General features: G+C 38.6%; 1 long non-coding RNA gene across 3 annotated transcripts in view, besides 1 other annotated feature; it reads left to right on the top strand.

Moving 5' to 3' along the window:
- The window catches only part of LOC107986956 (uncharacterized), a 90,023-nt gene that overhangs the window by 17,187 nt on the left and 49,825 nt on the right, over positions 1–23,011 (top strand). For 2 of the 3 annotated variants that reach the window (XR_001745996.1, XR_001745997.1), the window contains exon 2: positions 20,038–20,147. This is a non-coding gene — a long non-coding RNA (uncharacterized LOC107986956). Of the gene's footprint in view, positions 1–20,037; positions 20,564–23,011 lie in introns of those variants that run through there. The other variant, XR_007061008.1, reaches the window with a different exon arrangement.
- Positions 13,204–13,404: a silencer, noted in NCBI's record as "peak7108 fragment used in MPRA reporter construct". NCBI's record gives its function as "represses an SCP1 promoter by STARR-seq MPRAs in K562 erythroleukemia cells {active_cell/tissue: K562}" and the evidence as "EXISTENCE:reporter gene assay evidence [ECO:0000049][PMID:32103011]".

The following is a 23,011-nucleotide window of genomic DNA, read 5'->3' as shown; positions in this document are numbered from 1 at the left end:
CGCCAGTTGTGTATGGGTCTGTACTTGCACACGTGTGTGCATGGATATGAATGTGACCAGAGGTAGGAGTGGGGATGCAACATACACTGGTGCTTTCAGTAAGTGCACTCTCCTAGATGTTCCACTTTCATCCATACTCATTCCCTTAGTCTTGTGGAGTTTCATGATCCTTTCTCTAGGATGTTGGTAATATTCCTTCATGTCTACAGCTACCAATATAGGGAAATTTACACATGCCCAGATGATTCCTGAGATATAAATGCATCTGCTGAACAAATGTATGCACTTCAGATGTGCTCTGTGTGAAGCGTGATGTGCTCTTTTTGTATCCAAAGCCTGAAGGTCCCAGAATAAATAAACTCACTGACATGGTTCCCTCAGGTATTATTTATTTAGTAACTTCAATTCTCTGATCTCACGTGAAAGCAATTCTTAGATATGTGTGTATGAGCCAAAAAATATTGGTATAAGGAGCCATAAAATCGCAAGTGTTTTTTTAAACTATCTTGATTACGTATATAAAATAAGGAGAAAAATCTTAGACTCCCCTAGAAATTTGCCTTTCTGTGAGATCTGAGTGGTCACAGAATCTGTCTTAAAAGAGCTACAAGAAAACTGAGTAATTACGTAGGCCAAATCCTTCCTTTCACAGATAGGCTCTAGAGTGATGAAATGGATTCCCAATGTTTGAATTGTTTGCATGAAAATACTATAAAATCTGGCTAAAATACAACATATCTTAGATCTTTTCTCCCAACTTCCTTCTCTTTGATTTTTCTCTTTTTTCATTCATTCATTCTTTTATGCATTAGTTTATTACTTAGAGAGGAACCGGAAGCCTTTATGTGCAAGATACAGTCCTAAATACAATTCCTTTTCTAGAACATCTGCAGTGGGAATAAATGAAGTAGATATCCTGATCTATAGTATTTTGGGGGTGGTTTCCAGCATTATACATCTGCTAAATTTTAGCAAACTCACTCTTATTAAAGGTATCAAATATTTTCTTTCATTTTGTAAAAGTTAAAAATACCTTAGCCAAAGTAGGGTTGGGCTTTCAGTTCGAACACATATTAATTTTAAGATGTCCTCCCTGGCTTCTGGGAGGATAGTGAGCAGGTGAAGAGCAAGGTTGGATTGCCTAGAGCCAAACCCTGGTTTTGCTATTTTCTATCTGTGAAACTGTAGACAAGTCACTTAATTCTTTTACCTCTTGTTATTCTTACCTGTAATGTAAGAATAAATATTCTTACTTTAATAAATATTTTTTAATAAATACTCTTACTTTAGCTATAAAGTGGAAATGATGATATCTACTTCATAGGGCACTTCTGGGATATTAAGTGAAAAGTCCTATAGAGCACACAGTCCAGTACCTCGCCCACATTAAGTACTTGATAGCTGTCAGTTGTTATTGTTGGTGTTGCATAATGGAAGCAATTTCTTTGATTCCTGGATTGATTTGTTAGCATGGTAGATATTGTCTGTCAGAAATTTTATATCTCTACTAATATACTTCTTTGGATAATATAGAGCCCATGAATTAATCATTCCTCAAACCCTAAATGCCAGGTTGGGGCCACAGCATTGATGGGCTGTATCTCTCACCAGTGAGGGAAGGGAGTTGTCTCTTGTAGCTGTATATGTAGAAACAGATGTAGTAAGCTACAGAAACTAGGAGTGGTGGAATGGAAACAAAAAAAAAAATAAATTCATGGAAATTTCACTTATATTTTTATATAAAGGAAATGTATTGGTGGATTTTGCAAACTTAGCCATTCATCAGAATCACCTGGGAGATTTTTAAAAATATGGATTTCTGGGCTTCCATTAGGACTGAGTAAATTAGAATTTTCTGAAATATCCATTAAAGATGTAAGTTCCCTGCCCCACAACTCCCCCGGTAATTTATACGCAGCTAGCTTGATACCAGCATTTGAGTACTGGCATACACTGTGGCTGGTGGTTGATGCCATTATTAGGTAGACATTCTGGACCAGGTAGAAGAGATCATTTGCTCCTTAATTTGGTCTTGTTGAAGGCATCCTAGGGCCTATGTGCCCTTATTTCTGGATTGGTGACATCAGGGGCCTGGGAGGAAAGAGAGAAATGAGGGGCTATTGTAATTTGTGTTGTGATCCTTTGTTTTCTATGAATCTCCTGGAACTTCATCTTAGAGCTTAGAAGAAAGATGTCATCTCTCATCCTTTAGCAACAGTTCCTAGGTCTATATGTAAACAGTCAAATATTCAGTTCATGGTTATAACACCTGGTTTGGCAAAAACCACGAGTAGCTGAGAAACAGAAACGAAAATTTAAAACACCAAAACAAACCACCATTGCCTCAAGAAAACAGTTTGCTTGAACTCTTTAGTTACTACATTTTGTTACTAAGAATGTAGCCCTTCTTGCTTTGACTACTAGAAAGCTCAGAGCCAAGTTCGTGGTTGACTTTTCACAAATCCAGTATAGTATGTTCTGCCAGGCATTTTATGTATTCGTCTCACTCTTGGACTCTTTTTTCCTACCCTTATTTACTCTCTGACATGATTTCTTCAGTTATCTATTTTTTATCCTAATGCACTATGTTTAGTATAAAGCATACAAAATCAGTTTTGGAACAAGTGGGGCTTTGAACGTATAGAAAAATATGCTAGGCAATTGGCACAAAAGATATTATTCCTGCCCCAAAGACCTCACAGTTTAGTAGCCAGAGAGACACATAAAAACATAAAATAAGTTGCAGTACTGTTTTGTAAGAGCTATCATGGTGGTGTAGACACAGTGCTCCAAGGAGTACAACTGAGGATGCATCACCTCAGTTGTGGCGTGTATTCTGTGCCTGTTATGAGCCAGCAATTCTTTTAGGCACTAAAGACACATATTCCCTTAGCCCAAAAGAGCTCAAGTCTAAGGGGAAGACAAATATGTAAGCAAATAATTACAGAGTCACGTGCTGCTTAATAATGAGGACACATTCTGAGAAATGCATTGTTAGGTGATTACATCATTGTGTGAATATCACAGAGTGTGCTTACACAAACCTGGATTGTAGAGCCTACTACATTTCTAGGCTATATGGTATAGCCTATGACTCCTAGGCTATAAACCTATACAGCAAGCTTGTCCAGCTTATGGCCTGCTGTCCACATGTGACTCAGGATGGCTTTGAATGCAGCCTAACGCAAATTCATAAACCTTCTAAATCCTTGAGATTTTGGCCTGGTGTGGTGGTTCATGCCTGTAATCCCAGCACTTTGGGAGGCCAAAGTAGTTGGATCACTTGAGGCCAGGAGTTTGAGACCAGCCTGGCTAACATGATGAAATCCTGTCTCTACTAAAAATATGAAAATTAGCCAGGTATGGAGGTGCATGCCTGTAATCCCAGCTACTCAGGAGGCTAAGGCACAAGAATCGCTTGTACCTGGGAGGCGGAGGTTGCAGTGAGCTGAGATGGTGCCACTGCACTCCAGCCTAGACAACAGAGTGAGATTCTACCTCAAAAAACAAAAAACAAAAACATTATGAGATTTTTTGCGACTTATATTGTTTAGCTCATCAGCTATTGTTGGTGTTAGTTTATTTTATGTGTGGCCCAAAACAGTTCTGCCAATGTGGCCCAGGGAAGCCGAAAGTTTGGACACCCCTGCTATACGGCTTGTTACTGTACTGAATACTGTAGGCAACTATAACACAATGATAAGCATCTGTGTATCTGAACATATCTGAACATAGAAAAGGTACATTAAGATTATGGTATTATAATCTTCTAGGACCCCTGTTGTATATGTGGTCTGTCGTTGACTGAAATGTCATTATGTAGCACATGACTGTACTATAAAGAGATTCATTCTAAAACTCAGTGTGTATAAAATGCTGTGAAAACACAGATGAGGGGCAATTAATTCTATCTGGGAAAGGAAGTCTCAAGGAGAGAGAGTTACAGAGAGGTGATGACATTTCAGCTTGATCTTGTGCATAACAAATGACTTCCTATGAGGTATTTTCCACCTGTTTTGAATTAACTAAAATGATTAGGTCTTAGAATTTATAAAGGTCATCTTTACTAGCATGAAAAAAGAGGATCACTCTTGTAAAATAACCATTTAAAATGCAACAGCCTGATTTTTGAATGGGTACTAGGGTGAATTAATGCTAAAGTTCAGAAGAAAGATTTGGAAATGGAGATGGCTGGGGCTATAATTATCAGGGATTTGACAGAAAATAGTGCTATCAAATATGTACAATAATTAGAATATAATTCATATAATATAAAATAATAATTATAGCTCCCCACCATACAACATTGCTTTTTAGTTTGTGCTTGGCGGATTTAGGCCTCATTATAGGAAAAAATTCACTGACAGATCATCAGAAACTTTATACTCTGGCAGAAACAATGCTGTGTATTCTCCAAACCCGCTTCCTTTTCCTTCTGTGTTTACTGCTAAACTCGATTTACCATTATCCTTGCTGATCTCTGCCACTTCCAGTACTGGCCTATTGAAATCTCCTATGCTTGATCTTTTACTCTCTTGCTTTCTCTTCCATGGGGACTTACAGATCACATGCTGAGGACAACAGTGTCAGGAGGTGAAAGGAGCTTGAGTCCCTAAGGGACACATAGAGGAGAGCACCCTAGGAAAGCTGTTTAACCAGGGATATCTGCAGTGAATCTTGCATGAGTGAGCCAGGTATCATCTTGTACTGTGCACGGCCACTGAAATTGGAGGTTGTATTGTGCATGGCCACTGAAATTGGAGGTTGCTTGTTATAGCAGTTATTCTATCCTAGTACATCCTCTGTGAAATTATGTAAACAGTTCTTCCTTTAGCTCCCTTCCATCGATCCTTATCATCACATAACATGCTGTAATTTAATAAATGTTTACAGAATTCATGAATCAAGATATTCTTTTCAGATATTGAGCAAGGTTAGTATTGCAACCTCAACCTATCAAATATGCATAAGTCAAGAAAATAAATAGAAGAGCATTTAGTTCTCAGAGGAGCTACAATTACATTTGCAGTGATGCATTTATTCTTGTAACACACAAATGGGACATCTCAGAATGTGGTCCCTGGGACAGAAACAGGACAAACACACACATAAGGTGAGGGGAGGATTCCCTCCTTCAATGTGTGAACATGTTTGGTAGAGGGCCTTCCAGGGTGTGAGAAATGAGTCAGGTCACTTGGCCTTAGCATTAGAGACCTGGATTTGTTTGGCAAATCAGTAGGGTTTTAAAATAAGCTATTTCCACTAGTGAGTTATGACATTATTTCTATGGCATTCTAATGGACCTGAACAATTTATTGTATCAAGATCATTTCACAGGACTTCTGCATATTAACTAGTCATTGCTCTTGTTGTTGGGACTAGCACAATGCACAAGAGATATGGACCCTGCCCTCAAGAACCTTATAATCTAATGGGGAAACAGACATGTAAAATACAGTGACAGTTGTTATGGAGGCAATCCAGGATATGTTGCTTTTTTTTTTTTTTTTCAGCATTTCCTTCTCATTCTGGACAAAAAGGCTATCCTTCTTCTGTTGTTTAAATCCAAAGCAACACCAAAAAGAATTTCTCTGTGTGCAAAATTAAATTCAATTATGAAGTCCTTAAATTTGTTTTGTCTCCTTGGTCATAATGGGTGTGGTGTGGGTTAGGAGTTGGAAGTAAGGTTTGGGAGTGGAGGGTACATTTTCAAACATGTTAATTTATTTTAAGGCTGTGATGGGACCATGTATATGCATTAATCTCTAAATAGGTAGCCACGTATTTCTAGGTAGGCAGCAATATACATGAGAATTTCCTTTTTTTATCACTATCACTAGGTTTCTTAGTGGCTAAGTCCTCATTAATTCCTCAGTTAATTCCTTAATAAGCTGTCAAAAATAGTGACTTATTAAACCTACAGTTATTGAACCTGGTTTTCTTGCATTCACATTCCCATGCCTCTAATACATCCTCATATTGCCATGAGATTACTTTCCTTAAGCTCTACCTATTATGCCTATTTACCCTGTTGAAAACACCTTCAGAGGCTCTCATTGCTTAATTAATCATATCCGACTCCATAATAGCATTTCAATACCCTTCACTGTCTGCCACCATGTATATTTCTAATTATAATAGCACCCCTCAATCTATCTCTACCACACACCCAAAGTCTTGAATGCTCTCTCATCTCACAGTCCCTCAGTACTTTTTCTTACCCTTACCCCTTCACAGAATCCTGAGGCTGTCTCATGACTCCTCACCCATTGTGCTTCCTGAGTGCTAAGATGCCCTGCAGAAAGGCCGTGTTGTCAGGGATTGGAGCTGAAGGTAGGGTAGCTGAGCTCAGCCCCTGTGGATGGGTCATTGGAGGAGATCACTGCAATGGTGCTGCCCGAGGGCATCTGTGGATCTTAGTGTAACTGATGTTCAGGGGACCTACTCAAGTCTACCTCTCTGACCTCTTGCTAGAGAGTCTCTGACATATTCCCCACAGTCAATATCTTCTGACCTTCCTTCTTCAGAAAAACGGGTGTAGGGAGGATGGAACCTGAGCCACGGCTGCCTAAGGAGTCAGGATCTGGAAGTCTATCTCCTTCCTTATGGCTGCTGTCAGTCACCTGCCTTGTCATCATCTGGATACTTATAAAATGCAGATTTCCAGGCCCACAGCAGACCAACTAAAACAGACTTTCCCGGGTGGGAGCATCTCTGATATTTTCAACTACAAACAATTATTCTTTGTAGTTGATTTAAGTCTGAGAGTCACGGCTCCCCAGATGGGCAGACAGTCTGTGGGAAAATCCTGGTATCAGTCCTTCTAGTGTCACCATGAAAGTGAGAGCTGGCCAGGCACGGTGGCTCACTCCTGTAATCCCAGCACTTTGGGAGGCTGAGGTGGGTGGGCGATTGGAGGCCAGGAGTTCAGACCAGCCTGGCCAACACGGCGAAACCCTATCTCTACCGAAAAATACAAAAATTAGCCAGGCATGGCGGTGCGCGTCTATAGTCCCTGCTATTTGGGAGGCTGAGGGACAAGAATTGCTTGAACCCAGGAGGTGGAGGTTGCAGTGAGCTGAGATTGTGCAACTGCACTCCAGCCTGGGTGATAAAGTGACTCTGTTTCATAAAAAAGTAAAAGAAGAAAGTAAGAGTTAATTTACTTTCCTTTCTTTGTCTAGTTGATATTAGTGTTTGGCTTTTCTACTGCCATGTAGATAATAGGAAAGTGGAGTCCAAGGAGTGGTGGGGTGAGGGCAAATAAGGAAGATACCTCTCTTGGGTACTGCCCTTCGCTGTCACAAGGAAGAGAATAAAATCTTATTGGGAGGCTGAGCAATTATAATGATATCCTTATTACCCACCACTACCTGTTTTCTTGAACATTAGGTACTGGGCAGGCAAACCAAAAAATGTCCACAGTCTCTGATGTCTGCCATTTCTTGTCCTTCACCCCATCCCAGTACTGTTTCTATAACCTTTATACTTATCTTTAAATCTCAGTGAAATTGCTGTAATCAGTGAAGAGGTATTGAAAGTATTAGGGAACATCTAATTATTCCTTTTTATTTGCATCTTCTTATTGTTGCTTTCTGAGTTTTTGTTTTTGTGTGCATTTTATAATGTACATGATATGTAGTGAACCATGTATATGTGTAAGTGTATATATTCAGGCTGAGTGCTTACTTTTCTTTAACTGATCACGTACACCCTCAAAAAACTTCACTATCAACTCTCTTGACGATGCAGCAACCTGATCCTCTGAGCTTTAGCCAATGACTGTCTCCTTTCTCCTGATAACTAAGGCCTGGGAATTCTGTGCTTTGGACTCTCCCAGGGCTTTAATGAATTTCCTTTTGATCCTCGTCCAATGGAACTAGCATTGCTATTTGACATTCTGAATTTCTCATTTCAGTACGTGACCTTGTAGGGTGTTGTTTTGAAGGAATCAAATCTTGATCTCAATCTAGTGAGCTTAACCCTTGCATATTTCTCTACCAAGGTCATGGCCAGTTAAATACTTTGGTTATTCATATAATGCACCAGAAAATTAAAGCTGGTCCTTAATTAAAAGTTTCTTCTCTTCAACCTATGTATGGCCTAGCTCAAATTATTTGGTATGACCTTATAAATTTGAGACACAAAATGGTTATATTCTCAGCTTCTTGAACCTACACCAATTAGATATGTTAGAATATCCAGTAATCATTAAATAGCAAATACCTGTCTCTATGTATAAAGTGCAGAATGTATATGTACAACCAAGAGTCATTTAATTTCTTTTTAAGTTGGACTCTTTGGGGCCCAGGGATGGTTTTTTTATATAATAGATCTAAATTTATACACTTGGCTACTATTCCAGGACAGCCTTGTCACCGATATAAATCATCTCATTTCAGCAGCTACAGTAAATAATTGGGCCCCTGAGACATTGTTTTCCATCTTCTCTGCAGAGAGCGTCCTACAACCTCTGGGTTCTCCCCTGGGTGTGCAGGGTGACAGTGCCGTTGCCTCTGGCCTTTTCATTTATTATTTATTTCATTTATTTCAGGATTCAGAACAAATTGGAATTGGCAAAAAATGGAGAGAGTCTTTGGAAGGATAAATCCAAGGTTCTCATAATTACCAGAAACTGTGGGGAGAGCAGAAAGGGGAAAAAAGAATAAGAGAAAAACAAGTGAAATATTTCAAATCAGGAGACTTAAAAGAAAGACATTTACAACAGTGAATTTTCAGGTCCCAATAACAAAAAGGCTGTTATAATAAAGTTTTTTTGTTTTGTTTTGTTTTTGTAAGGCCAAACACAGCTTCCACTGCTAGCAGGCCGAGAGGGCTGGGTCCAGGCCAGGGGCTCTACCAGGAAGCTGATACAGACTTTCAGTATTGCCTCCCTGAGGCCAAGAGCATCCCTATAAGCCTCCATTTTTTCCTGTAGTAAACACCCATGGATTATTTTTCCCAGTCCCCAAAGTATAAAAGGGTCAACTTACTACCAAGTTATAATAAAGTTTTCTCTTTGGTTTCTGGTTTATGAAAATACTTCCCAGCTTTTGTTCAAAGATTAATTTGCTGCAATAGAACTTGATTACAATTCAGTAGCTTTTATCATACAACTTTCACCTTGGACCAATTCTTCTAAAAACAGAGAGTTTTTAAGTGATACAATCCCAACTGATATCAAGTAACACATCTTACTCAAAGGCAGTCTAATGTGTATGAATGCTTGTTAGCCCAGGAGCCAACATAGAGTCAGCACTTAATAAACAGTGTCACTCTTCTCTTCTCTATATAAGTATAGATAAAATCAATATGTAAACACACACATACATGCATATATTCTGTCATCCAGAATTTGAGAGTTTGAATAAATTATGGAGAATTATATAGTTCAGCAATGTGGTAGATAGCCACTATTATTATCCATATTCTGCAGATGAAGAAACTGAAGTCTAGAAAGGTGAAATAACTTGGAGAATCACTCAGGATTCCAATGCAAGAGGAATGTGTAACTCCAGTAACTCTGTTCCTAAACACTATGTTAGATTGCCTCCTAGGTCTGCTTAAACTCATGACATCCATTTAAAAGTATTCACTATTTATTAAAGTGTAGCAAATCATCCCCAAAATTAGTGACTTAAAAGAACAATGGCTTATTTTCTTGTACAGTTTCTGTGGGCTAGGAATTCAGGACGGTCTTGACAAAGCAGTTTTGACTTAGCATCTCTCATGAATGTGCAGTCAGATATTGGCTGAGCCTGCAGTCATCTGAAAGCTTGCTGGTGCTGGAAGAGGCACTTCCAAGGTGGCCCACTTGCATAACTGGCAAATTAGTGCTGGCTCCTGGCTGGGGCTTCTGCAGCTCTCCATGTGGCTCTGTCCACAGGACTGTTGAGTGTCCTTATAACATGGTGGCTGGCTTTCCCCATAATGAGTGATCCAAAAGACCAAGGCTGAAGCCATAATGTTTTATTGTATGAACTAGCCTCAGAAGTAACATACCATTATTCCCACCACATGTCTATTGACCACACAGCTAACTCTAACTCCATGTGTGAAGGACTGTACGCAGGTGTGAATACCACAAGGCTACCATAGCAAACCACTACTTATTCTCTTTTTGCATAAACCCCTTCCAACCCTTCCTCTAACCTACCACTCTTAGTCTATATTGGCCCATCATAGACACTTAATAAATATTAGCCTAGCCAATGAACTTAATAAACATTTGGATTCAGGTTAAAAAATCCTTCCAGTTTTTTGAGCCATTGCTAGGGAAATTATATAACTTGAGCTTTTGCCAATGACTCACTTTTTCCATCTACTTTTCCTTTTCAGAAACTCTTGGCCTACCTTCCCTACAATTCTGTAACCCAGTAATTGTGTAGGGAACCTCACAACTGAGGCTGAACCTCACAGCTGCTTTGTCTGCCTCCACTGAGAACATGAGAATAGGTTTGGCATGGTGGTGTTTCTCAACTGATGAGTCTATTCCCTGATCAACTGCTCAGGAGAACTTCTAAAGGAGACTCTAGTCCTAGAGACAGCTGTGAAACAGGTCTCTTAGACACTCCATTTCAGAGCCAATCATAAGCCATTTCTGTAATGATAAAGAGCTATACATATCCCCATACATTAATAATGCTGGTTGGTATGTATTTAGAAATACAACATTTTGAAAAATATCTATTTGGAAAGAAGGCCATTTGTTTTGTTACCGTTAGCTTACTAGTGTTCTTGTCTTATATATCTCTTTATCCTATGTATTACATAATGAAGATAAGTCACAAAAGCACTAGTTAAGACAGGAATTATGTCTTTCCAGAAACAAACCCTGGTGTGATTTTTAAAAGTACAGTGTGCTTCCAGCCCCTGCGTCTTTCTTGTTCCAAGGATGTCATTATCAATACTAATATAAATTTTTCATTGCTTGAGCCATTACAATATACAGAGAATAGATTTTTCAATTTTTCCAGTTCCACTGAGTATATTAGCAAAATTATCTGTCTGTCAGCAGGCACGTGGTGACGCCAGTAGCATCTCTGATTTTGATTGTTCTAAATCTTTTTATATTTACAGGTCTCCAGCGGAGAAAAGGCCAAGGACTTATTTGTAAACCCTTCTCCCATGTGCTTCTTCTGATCACTTTCTCTTACATTTCTTATTCTCTTGTCTGAGTCTTTAAAATGATAAATACTAAAAGCAATCTAAATGATAGGAAGTATGTATATTTCATTGATAAAATTGTAGGCTTTTAAAAATCATGCTTTATTAGTTATTAATATACCTGTAAGTTAAGGGTAGTTAATGAGGGTTCTTGATCTACGCAGAATTTTCCCACACATTAGGGGCAGACTCAGAGTACAGCCATGTTCTAACACCCGGCTTGGTGAAGATTCTGAACTCATATACAATGACCTATGGCAGATTGAACTCTCAACTCTTTTGTAATCTTCATGAACTATAAATGTTGCACATGCCTGCAGAATGAATTTTAGTTTCATTGTGGGGTAGTATGCAAGAAGAAACCTGGAGTGGCATATGTTGGGAGGGATAGATTAGAACATAGCAAGACTTCTTAATTGAAAAGATGAAGTTTCTCAGGCCAAATAGTAATATGATAAAATCATAGAATGGTATATTTGGGAAGTAGCTTCAAAGTATGCCTTTCAGTTTCTTTCAAAATAAAATGAAGAAAGAGAGAGAAAGTGCATGGCCTAATGTCACATGGTTAAAAGAAGATGAGTGGGCCTTAAATCAAAATCTGCCTTTCAGTCACGGATTTTCCCCAATACATTGGACTATCTCATGGAAAAAAAAGAATATGGGATTAATCATGAATTCTTTTTTTAAATTTAGATTTTTCAGGGTTAGAGACTAAAGAATAGAATTTTTGTTTGTTTGTTTGTTTGAAATACCTGGCTCAAACAACTAATTGGATAGATTGAGTTCAACAGGAGGTCCTTTATTGTAGTGTATTGTTTGTATCTATCCACTGAGCTTGAACTTGCAGCATAACATCCATGACATTTTATTATTACATTACCATGCAGACAACCTTACCAATGGATCCAAGGTCATTAACATCTGTATTAGTTTACTATTGCTGGTGTTAACAATTTACCACAAATTTAGTGATCCAAAACAATACAATATAAATTTATTAATGTTCTGCAGGTCAGAAGTCCGAGGTTAGGTCTTATATGGCTAAAAGCAAGGTGTCGGCAGGGCTTCCTTCCTTCTGGAGACCCCAGGGAAGAATCTGTTCGTTGCCTTTGCCGTCCTCGAGAGGTTTCTCACATGCCTTGGCTCCTGGTCATGAGGACCTCTCCTTGCCGTTACACCTCCTTCCCTGAATCAGATCCTCCTGCCTCCCTCTTATTAGAGCACTTGTAATTACATTAGTCCTTCCTTGATAATCCAGGATAACCTCCCCATCTCACGATCCCTAGCTTGCTCACATCTGCAGCATCCATTTTGCCATGCAAGGTAACAAATTCACCAGTTCTGGAGATTAGGCCTTGGACATCTTGAGGGGGCCTATTCTGCCTGTCACATCTATATTTGTTATTTAGTTAGAAAATAATTGAGTATGACTGTAAGAGCCTTGCAAAGAGCCCATAGACTTCATTGTGAGTCTGATTTAGAGTACACCAGCTGGGTAACCTTGGGAAGCTTGGTTAACCTCGCTGAGCCTTAATTTCTTCATCAGCAAACTGGGGTGGACAAAATATGAGCCAAAATGTATTATGCTCTTAGTATATTCATTCACAATTCTTTAAAAAACATGATTGTGCCCTCCTTTGTGCCAGGGAGTGTTAGGTGCTGAGAGGATATGGTAAGTGGAACTCACATGGGGTCTGTCTCAGGCACTTACAGACTGGTGGAGGAGGCAGTCCGTCACAGTTGTAATCCAACAAAGAAGAGTAAAATTTCAAAGAGAACTGCATTCTACTGTAAAGGGACTTGTGTAACGGGAGCTTCTAATGTAGGATTTGACCACAAGGGAGCTTGGGGAAGTCTCCCCTGAGGAAGTGACTCCCAAATGGAGACCTGGAGAAGGTGTAGGCACCAACAAGGCAGAGAAGGGAGGAAAGTGCAGGTGCAGAGGCTCATGGGAGAAGGAAGGAGGCAGGTGAAAGGGGCTTGAAGAAGGCTATTGTCTTGGAGCAGGAAGGTGAGCTATATCAGTCCTAGGCCAACAGTGGAGGATCCAAACTTCCACTGATTTAGGCAAGTGACAGGCAAGTCATGAACTTTTCTATGACTCAGTTCCCACACTGATAAAATAGAGATAACAATAATAGTAGCTTTTGGGGAATGCACAGCTTAGATAAGAAAATGCGTGAAATCACTGTGCATACAGTCAGTGCTCTGTGAATCTTAGTAATTGCCCTAATCATAATCTCACTTATCCTTGCATCAACCTTATGAAGTAAGTAGAAACTAAGGTGGAGAATATTAAGTATCTTGTCCAGGGTCATACAGCCAGTGACAGATCAGGGGATTTGGAAAGAGGTACATCTGCCTACATGGAGCTGGTGTTCTGCACCACAGCATCTCCCACCCCAGAGCATGGCTTCGAGAGATAAATGGGATAGTATACTGAGAGTGCTTTGTAAAGTAAACCTAAATCCATAAATAAAAGGCTTGTGATTATTCACATTATCCTCCTCACCACTATTTTTCTTCTGTTATTACTCATAACAAGGGGAATGTAAGCTGGCTGAAGCTGACCCATTTAATTTCTTCCTCTAAATCATTTTCTCTCTAAATAAATTCCAATAAAAACAAGGGGAACAGGACTAAGCAGAAGATGCAAAGTGCAGTCATGTCTTCATTGACTCTGTGGCCTCATTCATTTTGGCCCAGATGCCAGCGCTTATTTCTGAGGGGCCAGGAAAGAATAGAACAGCTCACTCTCTGTTATACCCTTAGATTGTAGAAATAAGTGTTTGGGGCAATCTGGTAAATTGAGATAACCACATAAGCCATTTGAGGTTTACTTAATTTCAAAGAATTAGAACATTAAAAGTATCAAAGTTATATAAGTATATTTAATCTTCATTTAATAAATTTGAAGACACTTCAAAATTGTGCTGTTTCTCAGGATTCCCACCACCATTTCAATCATCTTGGCCCTGATAAAGTGCAGGAGTGCTGGCTTAATAGGCATTTTTAGTTGGTAGGATGCCAGATAATCATCTCTTACTGGAAATGGTCATAAATTGAAATTTGAATTTGTTGATTCTGTAAATCTGGAATAATACAGTAGGGTTTTGAAATTGTCTCCTTTTAATTTCATCATTAATGTGAAACAATAAAAATGAGTAGATTTAAGTGGAAAATGCATAACCCTAAAATGCTTCCCTAACTAAATCAAACAGAATACAGAAAGAAGAAAGAAGATCTTCCATTTGTCAAGTGATAGATTCTTTTTATCATTCACTGATGTCTGACAGTGTCGGAATATGAGACTTTAGCAATTATGATGCCAGAAATGTATTGAAGGACAGATTTATTTTCACAGACATGCACAAAAAGTATATTTGTATGGCTTTTTCTGTGTGGTTGTTATTTTATGATTGTTTGGTATTGAAGAAGATTTGAAGAAGAATCTAACATCAACTGACACTTTTAAATTTGTGTGATCTGAGATCTCAATCCCCCTACAAATTCAGGGCCAGAATCCAACTAATGAAAAAGTATGACATTAATTATTATGATAAGGTGTATCCTACTGCAAATTTACAGGTTTCAAAATCTGGTCATTGAATAGCTGAGTTAAGAACTAAAGAAGCCACTGACAGCTTGGAGCTTAGCTTTCAAAGTTGGAACCAACAGCGTATCTTATGCATTGACTGAAATAATGCAATGAAATTCTTTTCTCTCTTAACAAGCTTTCTCCAGTCATGAAATTCCCTTTGCTATGCCACAACCCCAATGTGAAAAAGGAGAACATGTTCCGATATTGAAAAACTATATGCCATTGCCTATTTTATCATTCATATCAAAGACACTCAACAGATAGCACATGTACAATTGATGGATTATTCTCATCATGAAAGTCTGATCACCCCACTTGGGTTTTCAAACAAAGCATTTAATAACCACTGCCTTGTTAAAAGGTGGAAAATGATCTGGCTTGTGGCCTGATAGGACGAGGTTTTATTGATTTTACTGAGGCCCTTGACTTGGGAGATCACAGGCTTCTTAAGGGCAAACTTAAAAGGAAGGATTGAGATGGATGAGTAATTACCTGTGTGATGGATGTCATTCTGTAAACATCAGGATCGGGTAGCTTCTCCTTGGAGTATCAGTTGGTGGGGGAGGGAGAGAACATAGTCGAAGTCTCATTTCAACCATTTTTAGTCTTTTTGCATATTTATAAATGAGCTTTGCTCTGTTGGAATATGGGGTTATACATGATTTTGAAAAGATATGCCTTTGTTTCTTAATTTAAATGTTGGTTTACAAAAAGAAATAGATTTTTATGGCTGCTAGACAACACAATGATTCTTCAAATGCTACAAAAAAAAAAAACAAAAAAAACCCAACAACTTGATAAATGTTATTTGTTTTCACGGTTCTTGGTCTATTTGGAAATGCAGCTATCTGAATCCCAGGCTCCAAAAGGGGCCAGGCTGAGCTTGAGGCAGTATCAGAAAAGAGGCCATTGATGGAAGCCTGGGGAAGGAGGTACTGAGTGGTAGTCAGTGCTCAGGAGATTTGGAGGCCTTGCAGGGTGCTAGAGCAAGGAGGTGACAAAGCAGCACTCAGTGATAGAATAGGCAATAGGCAGGAGGGACCACAGGGAATGGAGCTCTGGGTGGGCAGCATTCTGTGGACTGGGAGGTGGCCACCCCAGGGATTGTAGAGTGGGGTTGTTGTCAGGTCTGTCTCCTGTGGCCCTTGCTTTCTTTCAATTGGTGTCACAAAGTGTGACTTAAGAAAGCTATCTTGAGGGTGGAGAGGGAGTAGAGGAAGGAGTTGTGTTTACTGGAATCCACTGAGCTGCTGAACCCAGGTGATACGTGAAATTCCTTTAATGTCATAACACTGAATTGAGCAATCCTTTTGATGTGGAAGAAAAAAACCATTTTTTATCCAATCTGTTGGATACAGTGGAATGGGTGTGAGTTTTAGAGTCAGGCAGATGGGGTCACATGGTTCTAGTTCTGCCCCAGGCACTTTGAGACCTTGGGCAAGTTTAATTTCCCTAATCTTGACTTTCTCTCATTTATCTATCATTCATTTATCAAACATCTATTGGGTAAGTACTATGCACTAAGTACACAGTACTTATATTGCTTCTTGTTTTCAAAGAGATTCTAGTTTAATAGGGACATTAATAAGTAAATAAAGAAATGCAATATTGTTATAGCTACTGTAATATACTGGACAGAAGACATAGAAGAGTGAAGGCCTAAAAAAAGGAAGGGATTAAATTTTCTGAACAGAGTATGGGGCTGGAAACTATACAGAGAGGAGGTAACTGAGTCCTGAAAAGATGACCAGCTGGCAATGTGGTTGCAGAGGCAGGCAGGTACCAAGTCATGGAGGAATTGGAGTTGTCAAGGTGCAAAGAGGGTACTCCCTGTCGGGAGTGTCTTTGAGTGTGTGAGAGATAAATGGGTCTGTATATAGTCTGGGGAGAAAGAGGGCATGTACCTGTAAAATGTTTTGCCTGGGTAAAAGGTTATATGAACTTGTTGCAGAGATTCCTTTTAAGGTTCCAAGTTCTACAGGGAAGAAAAGGGTGTGGCCTTATTTTTGACATCTTGATCCATTTTGTTGATCCGTGGCAACTGAAGTTTTGCCTTCTTGTGGGGATCACAAATTGATATTTTCCTGGAGTATTTAAATAATGTATCGAATCTCCATGCTATGTAATAGAGATCAAGGATGATTTAAACATGATTATTGTTCTCAAAGAGATTCTAGTTTAGTAGGTACAATCAAGTATGTAAGTAAATAAATGCAACATTATTGTAGGAGAATTTACTTTGACTGTCAGGTAGCACATCCTCCATTCCCAAGTGAGAGACTATCTACCTTCTGCAGTTACTTCTGTTGTATGAGATATGGAGTCTCCTACCCATTCCTATAGGAAAGAAGTTTTTGCTCTTCATGCAAGTTGTGACTCTACTGGCTTCCATTCTGTGGGCTGAAGAACAAAGTTTTTGTGCATGATATAGCAGGACAAGTCAGCAAACAAAGAGCTTAATGTGATATGTGAATTCTTTGTAAATATCATACAGGTTTGACTTGATTTATACTAGATGGAAACATCATCAAAGCATTTCTTCCTTAGGAGAGGAAATCCCTTGTTTTATTTCCTACTTTAAATAACATTTTTAAAAGGTAAGATCCAAGAGTGAAATCATGAAGATGAGGTGCCAAAAATATATATTAATTCCATCATTAAATGAACTGATCATTTCTGTGTGAAGAAGGAACATGAGTGGGACAGCACTTGGGAGAATAGTCTGCTAAGTGTTGTAATGAATATATTGCAATTATATTCCAATGATGTGATCCTGTATAGTAGAGGAATATATGGGAGATTATTTTTCTATGTGAGAAAGTACTCAATGACTAGAATACATTTTTATTATATGGATTTTTATATATTTGTGTAAATTGGCTTTTTCCCCACAGAAAAAGTTAATACATAAGGTACTTCACTTTGTCAGAACAATCTATAGTGAAGTATTATTATAAATAATGAATATGTGTGAAGGGTATTTGAACTGAAGGATAATCTCTCTTGGATAGTAAACTGCCAGAAATTTCTTGATATTCCACAGAAAAGAAGAGGACTATCACAGGCCAAGTTAATGTATTTTTTTCATTTTCAGTTTTCCTGTATATTTTAAGCCCACTGCTCATTCCTTGGCTCAGATCTTTGATTCAAGCATATCCACAGACTCTTTCCAAATTGTTTATATCTGATGGGAGAGACTAGATTGGAAGCCCTACTCATATGGCCATGATTTAGCCTAGGAAAAATAATTCTCCATAATGGATTACAGTCGGCCCTTGAACAGCATGAGGATTAGGCATCCTGGCTCCGTATGCAGTTGAATATCTACGTATAACTGTTGACTCCCCCAAAATTTAACTGTTAATAACCTATTGTTGACTGGAAGCCTTACTGATAACATAAATAGTTGTTTGACATATATTTTGTATGTTATATGTATTATATACTATATTATTACAATAAATAAGCTAGAGAAAAGAAAATGTTAGTAAGAAAATCATAAGGAAAAGAAAAAATATTTATTATTCATTAGATAGAAGTGGATCATCATAAAGGTCCTCAGCTTTGTGGTCTTCATACTGAGCAGGCTGACGAGGAGGAGGAAAAGGGGCTGCTCTTGCTGTGTCCAGGGTGGGATGGTAGACAGAAAGAAAACCTGCGTATATGCAGACACGTGCAGTTGAAGCCTGTGTTGTTCAAGGGTTAAGTGTACTTCAGGTTTTATTCTGTGGAAATAATGCATGCTGTTGAAAGGCAGATTCCGTATTAGAAATGTGTTCGTGATTATTTGTCCATTTAGGGGGACATCTGTTTAACGAAGGCATTTTGGACCACAGTTTTTATGAACAATATTTAAATTTCAGCATATGTAATGTTTTTATTAATAAAATTATCAATGTATCTATATATTTTCAAAACATATCCATGAAATGTTGGCGTGTTTGGGGTGATAAAAAGTGGTATTTCTTGAGATGGGTGAGAGTTGTAGAATGAAGGCATTTCACATGGCTTGATTGGAGAGAAGTAAGGCCATAGGAGAGGCCCACAGGCTTTGCAGTAAGTAGGATCTGGTTCAGTTCCAGTTCCACCATCTGTGTGAACCATCTCATGTTTCTTAAACTCTTTAGCCCCTGATTCTTCATCAGTAATATGTGGTTAGCAATATATAATCAAAGGATATTAATAAATGTCCTTACCCAATGCCAGTCACATTATAAGTTTCAACAAATGATGGTTATTATCATTAAATGTAAATTCATGAGTAGCTTTGAAGGAATCTCACCTCTCACATGATAGTGAACTGCCTAGATTATCTGTAAATAACTTGGTTTATTTTTAGAATGACCCTAATTTGAGGATCTCTAAAAGTCTTGTTTTCACATCAGCTGCTTAGATTGGCTGTGGTAATTCACCTAGCAGCCTAGCAGAACAGTTTTCCACATAGTGAGTTGACCTAAGCTATATCAAATTGACCTGTAATAACTCCAAGCAGCAGTGGCTAAGAAGTACCAGGCCAAAAAGAAAAAAATATTATATATGAATTTAAGTATAAAACCCCAAAATATCATTACATGGCATTAAAATAATAACTATTTTTTCCTCACAATATGTGCTTATTATAAGAAATTTAGAAAATACCAACATCAGAAAAAAAATCTTTTCTTCCCATTACTCAAATGTAATTTACAATTGTTAACATTTATTTCAGTATATATCTGTTTAGTTCTTTGCCTAAACATACAGTGTATTTTTCCTAAAAAAATTGAACATATTTCTTTGAAGTAGGCTTTTTTGATGTAATAATGTCTTGTGAACACATTTTTCAAGTCTTTAAAGAACTCTAGCATATTTTTATGAATGTAGAAATATTATAGATATAATAGATACATACAATATTACAACTACAATATTCTATCAAAATTTAATCAACTCCTTATTTTTGAACATTTGTTATGTCTGATATTTTATTGTTATGAATAAGACTGTGATAAACATTCTCATAATTATTAAGCATTTATAAGCATGCATTAAAATTCCTTAGGATAACCTTCTGGATGTGAAATTTTGGGGTCAAATGCCATGACAGTAGACATTATTGGTTGTCAGTATATCCTTTTTCTTCTTTCTCTTTCCTAACAAGGGTCTCAGTTCTCTTTAGTTTTCCATCTCTCATCCATGCAGCCAATTGCCATGGGAGACACTGAGCCCACCCTAACTCTAGGATCGACTTTAATCAGCAATTATATTTCCTTTGTCAATATTTGATTCAGGACTGGCTTGGGATCCTGAGAGAGCAAGAAAAGTTTACCGGGAGCTTCAGAAAAAGTTATTCATCATTTTTGGAGTGGATATTCAGAAGTGACTTCCCTCTTTTGCTCTGGTAGGTATGGATATGAGACCTCAGAAACCCCAGAACTCCTCATTCTTTGCCTGACAGAAAAGCCCACACATGGGAAAGACAGCCATAAAGATCAAAAGTAGAGCCCCTGGACTAAATTAAGAAAGCAACTTGCTCAACCTTTCCACATCTAGTTCCGTGAGCAATCCATTTCCTCATGTCCAAAACAGCTTGACTGGGGGTTTCGGTTACTTACAGCCCAAAGCACACCAACTGGTATGGTCATCAGAATTTAAGGCTTTTAAGTACTTAAAATTCTGATTTTAAGGATGTTTAAATCAGAAAGTACCACTGGAAGGTTCATACTAATTTATTCTCCTACAAGCAAGCAGTACAGTTTCTTGAAAAATATACTGAAGTTTATTTTGGACTGCATGAAAATAAATTTATTATCAAAATGCATGTCTACATATGGCTTTGTTATATTACTGTTCTGGGAGATGCAAACTGTCCTTTCTTCAAACAAGTTGTATCCATTGCTCTTTTCTCCTCTTCCCCTCTCTTCTCCTATCTGCCTTTATGTATTTCAAGGATTGGTCTAAAAGAACATAAGCTGGGCTAGGCGCAGTGGCTCATGTCTGTAATCCTAGCACTTTGGGAGGCTGAGGTGTGAGGATTGTTTGAGCCCAGCCTAGGCAACATACTGAGACTCTGTCTCTACAAAAAAAAAAAAAAAAAGAAAAAAAAATCGGTGTGGTGGCCATGTGCTACTCCGGAGGCTGAGGTGGGAAGATGGCTTGAGCCTGGGAAGTTGAGGCTGCAGTGAACCATGATTGTGCCACTGCACTCCAGGCTGGGTGACAGAGTGACACCTCATCTCAAAAACCAAACAAAATGAAGCCATAAACTGTGTAGTAAGGGTCCTGTGTTCAAATCCCCCCATTTGCCATTAATTGTCCCTATAGTATTCAGTAATTCATTAACTCTGTGACCCTCTTCATTCACTTGCCCTCTCTAACTTAAAATGTTCCTGTTTGGAGTAAAGAAAACAATCAATTCGAAAGAAAGCTTTTTGAAAAAATACACAAGTACTATCAATTTATTTTTTATCTATAACTTATGTTTCTACAATTCCGTTTTCTATTTCTTTTTCTGGTTTTGCTGTTAAACTTGCTCTTGAAAAGCTCCAGCTTCAGATCCCTCAATTTCTCCCCACAAATTCTAGAATCTTGCAAGAACAAGGGGGTTCTCTACTCCCTACCATGTGGCATCTACCATTCTAGTCCCCCTTGGCTCTTGTAGCCATGTTTTTTCCCACTGCTGATATCCGGGCCAGAGCTATGCCAGGGACACACCAGAGCACTACTGTTGTGCTATCCTCACAAAAGCTGCCAATGCCCAAGTGCTGATGTTACAATACTCTTCCATGGGAAGAAAAGGATGTCTGATTTTGAGTCTGCATCATTTGCCAATGGTTCTGATAATACTGGCAACAATCTCCCTGGGCCTTCTCACATATTATCTTTTGCCTCTAAAAATTTTTTCTGTACCATCTCCTCCAAACCCACTTTTCTATACCATCTCCTTCAAACCCACTAATACATTGCTAGCTCTTATGTATTAGTCTGTTCTCATGCTGTTAATGAAGACATACCCAAGACTGAGTAATTTATAAAGGAAAGAGGTTTAATAGACTCACAGTTCCACATGGCTGAGGAAGCCTCACAATCATGGCAGAAGACAAAGGAAGAGCAAAGGGACATCTTACATGGTGGCAGGCAAGAGAGCATGTTCAGGGGAACTCTGCTTTATAAACCCATCAGATCTCATGAGACTTATTCACTACCAGGAGGAGAACAGTATGGGCGAAACCGCCCCCATGATTCATTTATCTTCACCTGGCCCTGCCCTTGACACGTGGGGATTATTACAATTTAAGGTGAGATTTGGATGGGGCACAGACAAACCATATCATCTTGTCCTTCCTTAAAGTGTCAACATAAATGTCTCTTCTTCTGGATTTTTCTCTGCCTCAGTTTTTTTGGCCTCTTGCCTGGGTCTTGGGAAAATAAATCAATGATAAAACAGAGTAAAATCAGTAAATAAACAGATAATAAATAAATAAGTAGTGTCCATATATTCAACCAGTATTTATTTATTTATTTACTTACCTATTTTTTGACACAGGGTCTCGCTCTGTTGCCCAGGCTGGAGTGTGGTGGTGCGATCTTGGCTCACTGCAGCCTCTGGGACCCCAGATGCATGCCATCATGCTTTTTTATTTTTTGTAGAGACAGGGTCTCCCTATGTTTCCCAGGCTAGTCCCAAACTCCTGAGCTCAAGTGATCCTCTAGCCTCGGCCTCCCAAACTGCTGGGATCACAGGTATCAGCCACTGTGCCTGGCCCTCAACTGGTATTTATTAAGTGGCCGCTATTTGCCAGGCCCTCAAGTCCAGGCGGGATATTTCTCTATGAATTTTTATAGCAGTCTCAGAGTATCATTTCATGGCAAGTAACATGTTGTAGTGTATTGCCCTATTTGTCCATACCCACACTGGATTGTATTAATATATTCCACTAGGCCAGGTAACTGTCATTTTTGCTTACCCTTATACCCTGCACTGGAACTCCAGACTCATGTATCTTCACATAGATGTTTAATAAATATCTAAAATGTTACATGACCAAAACTGAGCTCTGGTATTCTTCCTTCAAACCTGTTCGCCTAACAGGTTACTCCTGTCAGAAAATGGCCTTTCTACAGAAAATCTCTTTCTACAAGTTTAAAACACATGGGGTCATCTTGGACTCTTCTTTTTCATCCGCACTTCACACCATCAGCACATCCTGTCAGCGCCACCTTCTGAATTCAACTGTCCTTACCCTGTCCAACAGGTCCAAGACC

The sequence above is a fragment of the Homo sapiens genome, chromosome 8, assembly GCF_000001405.40.
Source record: "Homo sapiens chromosome 8, GRCh38.p14 Primary Assembly".
Classification (NCBI taxonomy): Eukaryota; Metazoa; Chordata; class Mammalia; order Primates; family Hominidae; genus Homo; species Homo sapiens.
The sequence above is the reverse complement of the archived record's forward strand: the minus strand, read 5'-3'. Positions and strand labels throughout refer to the sequence as shown.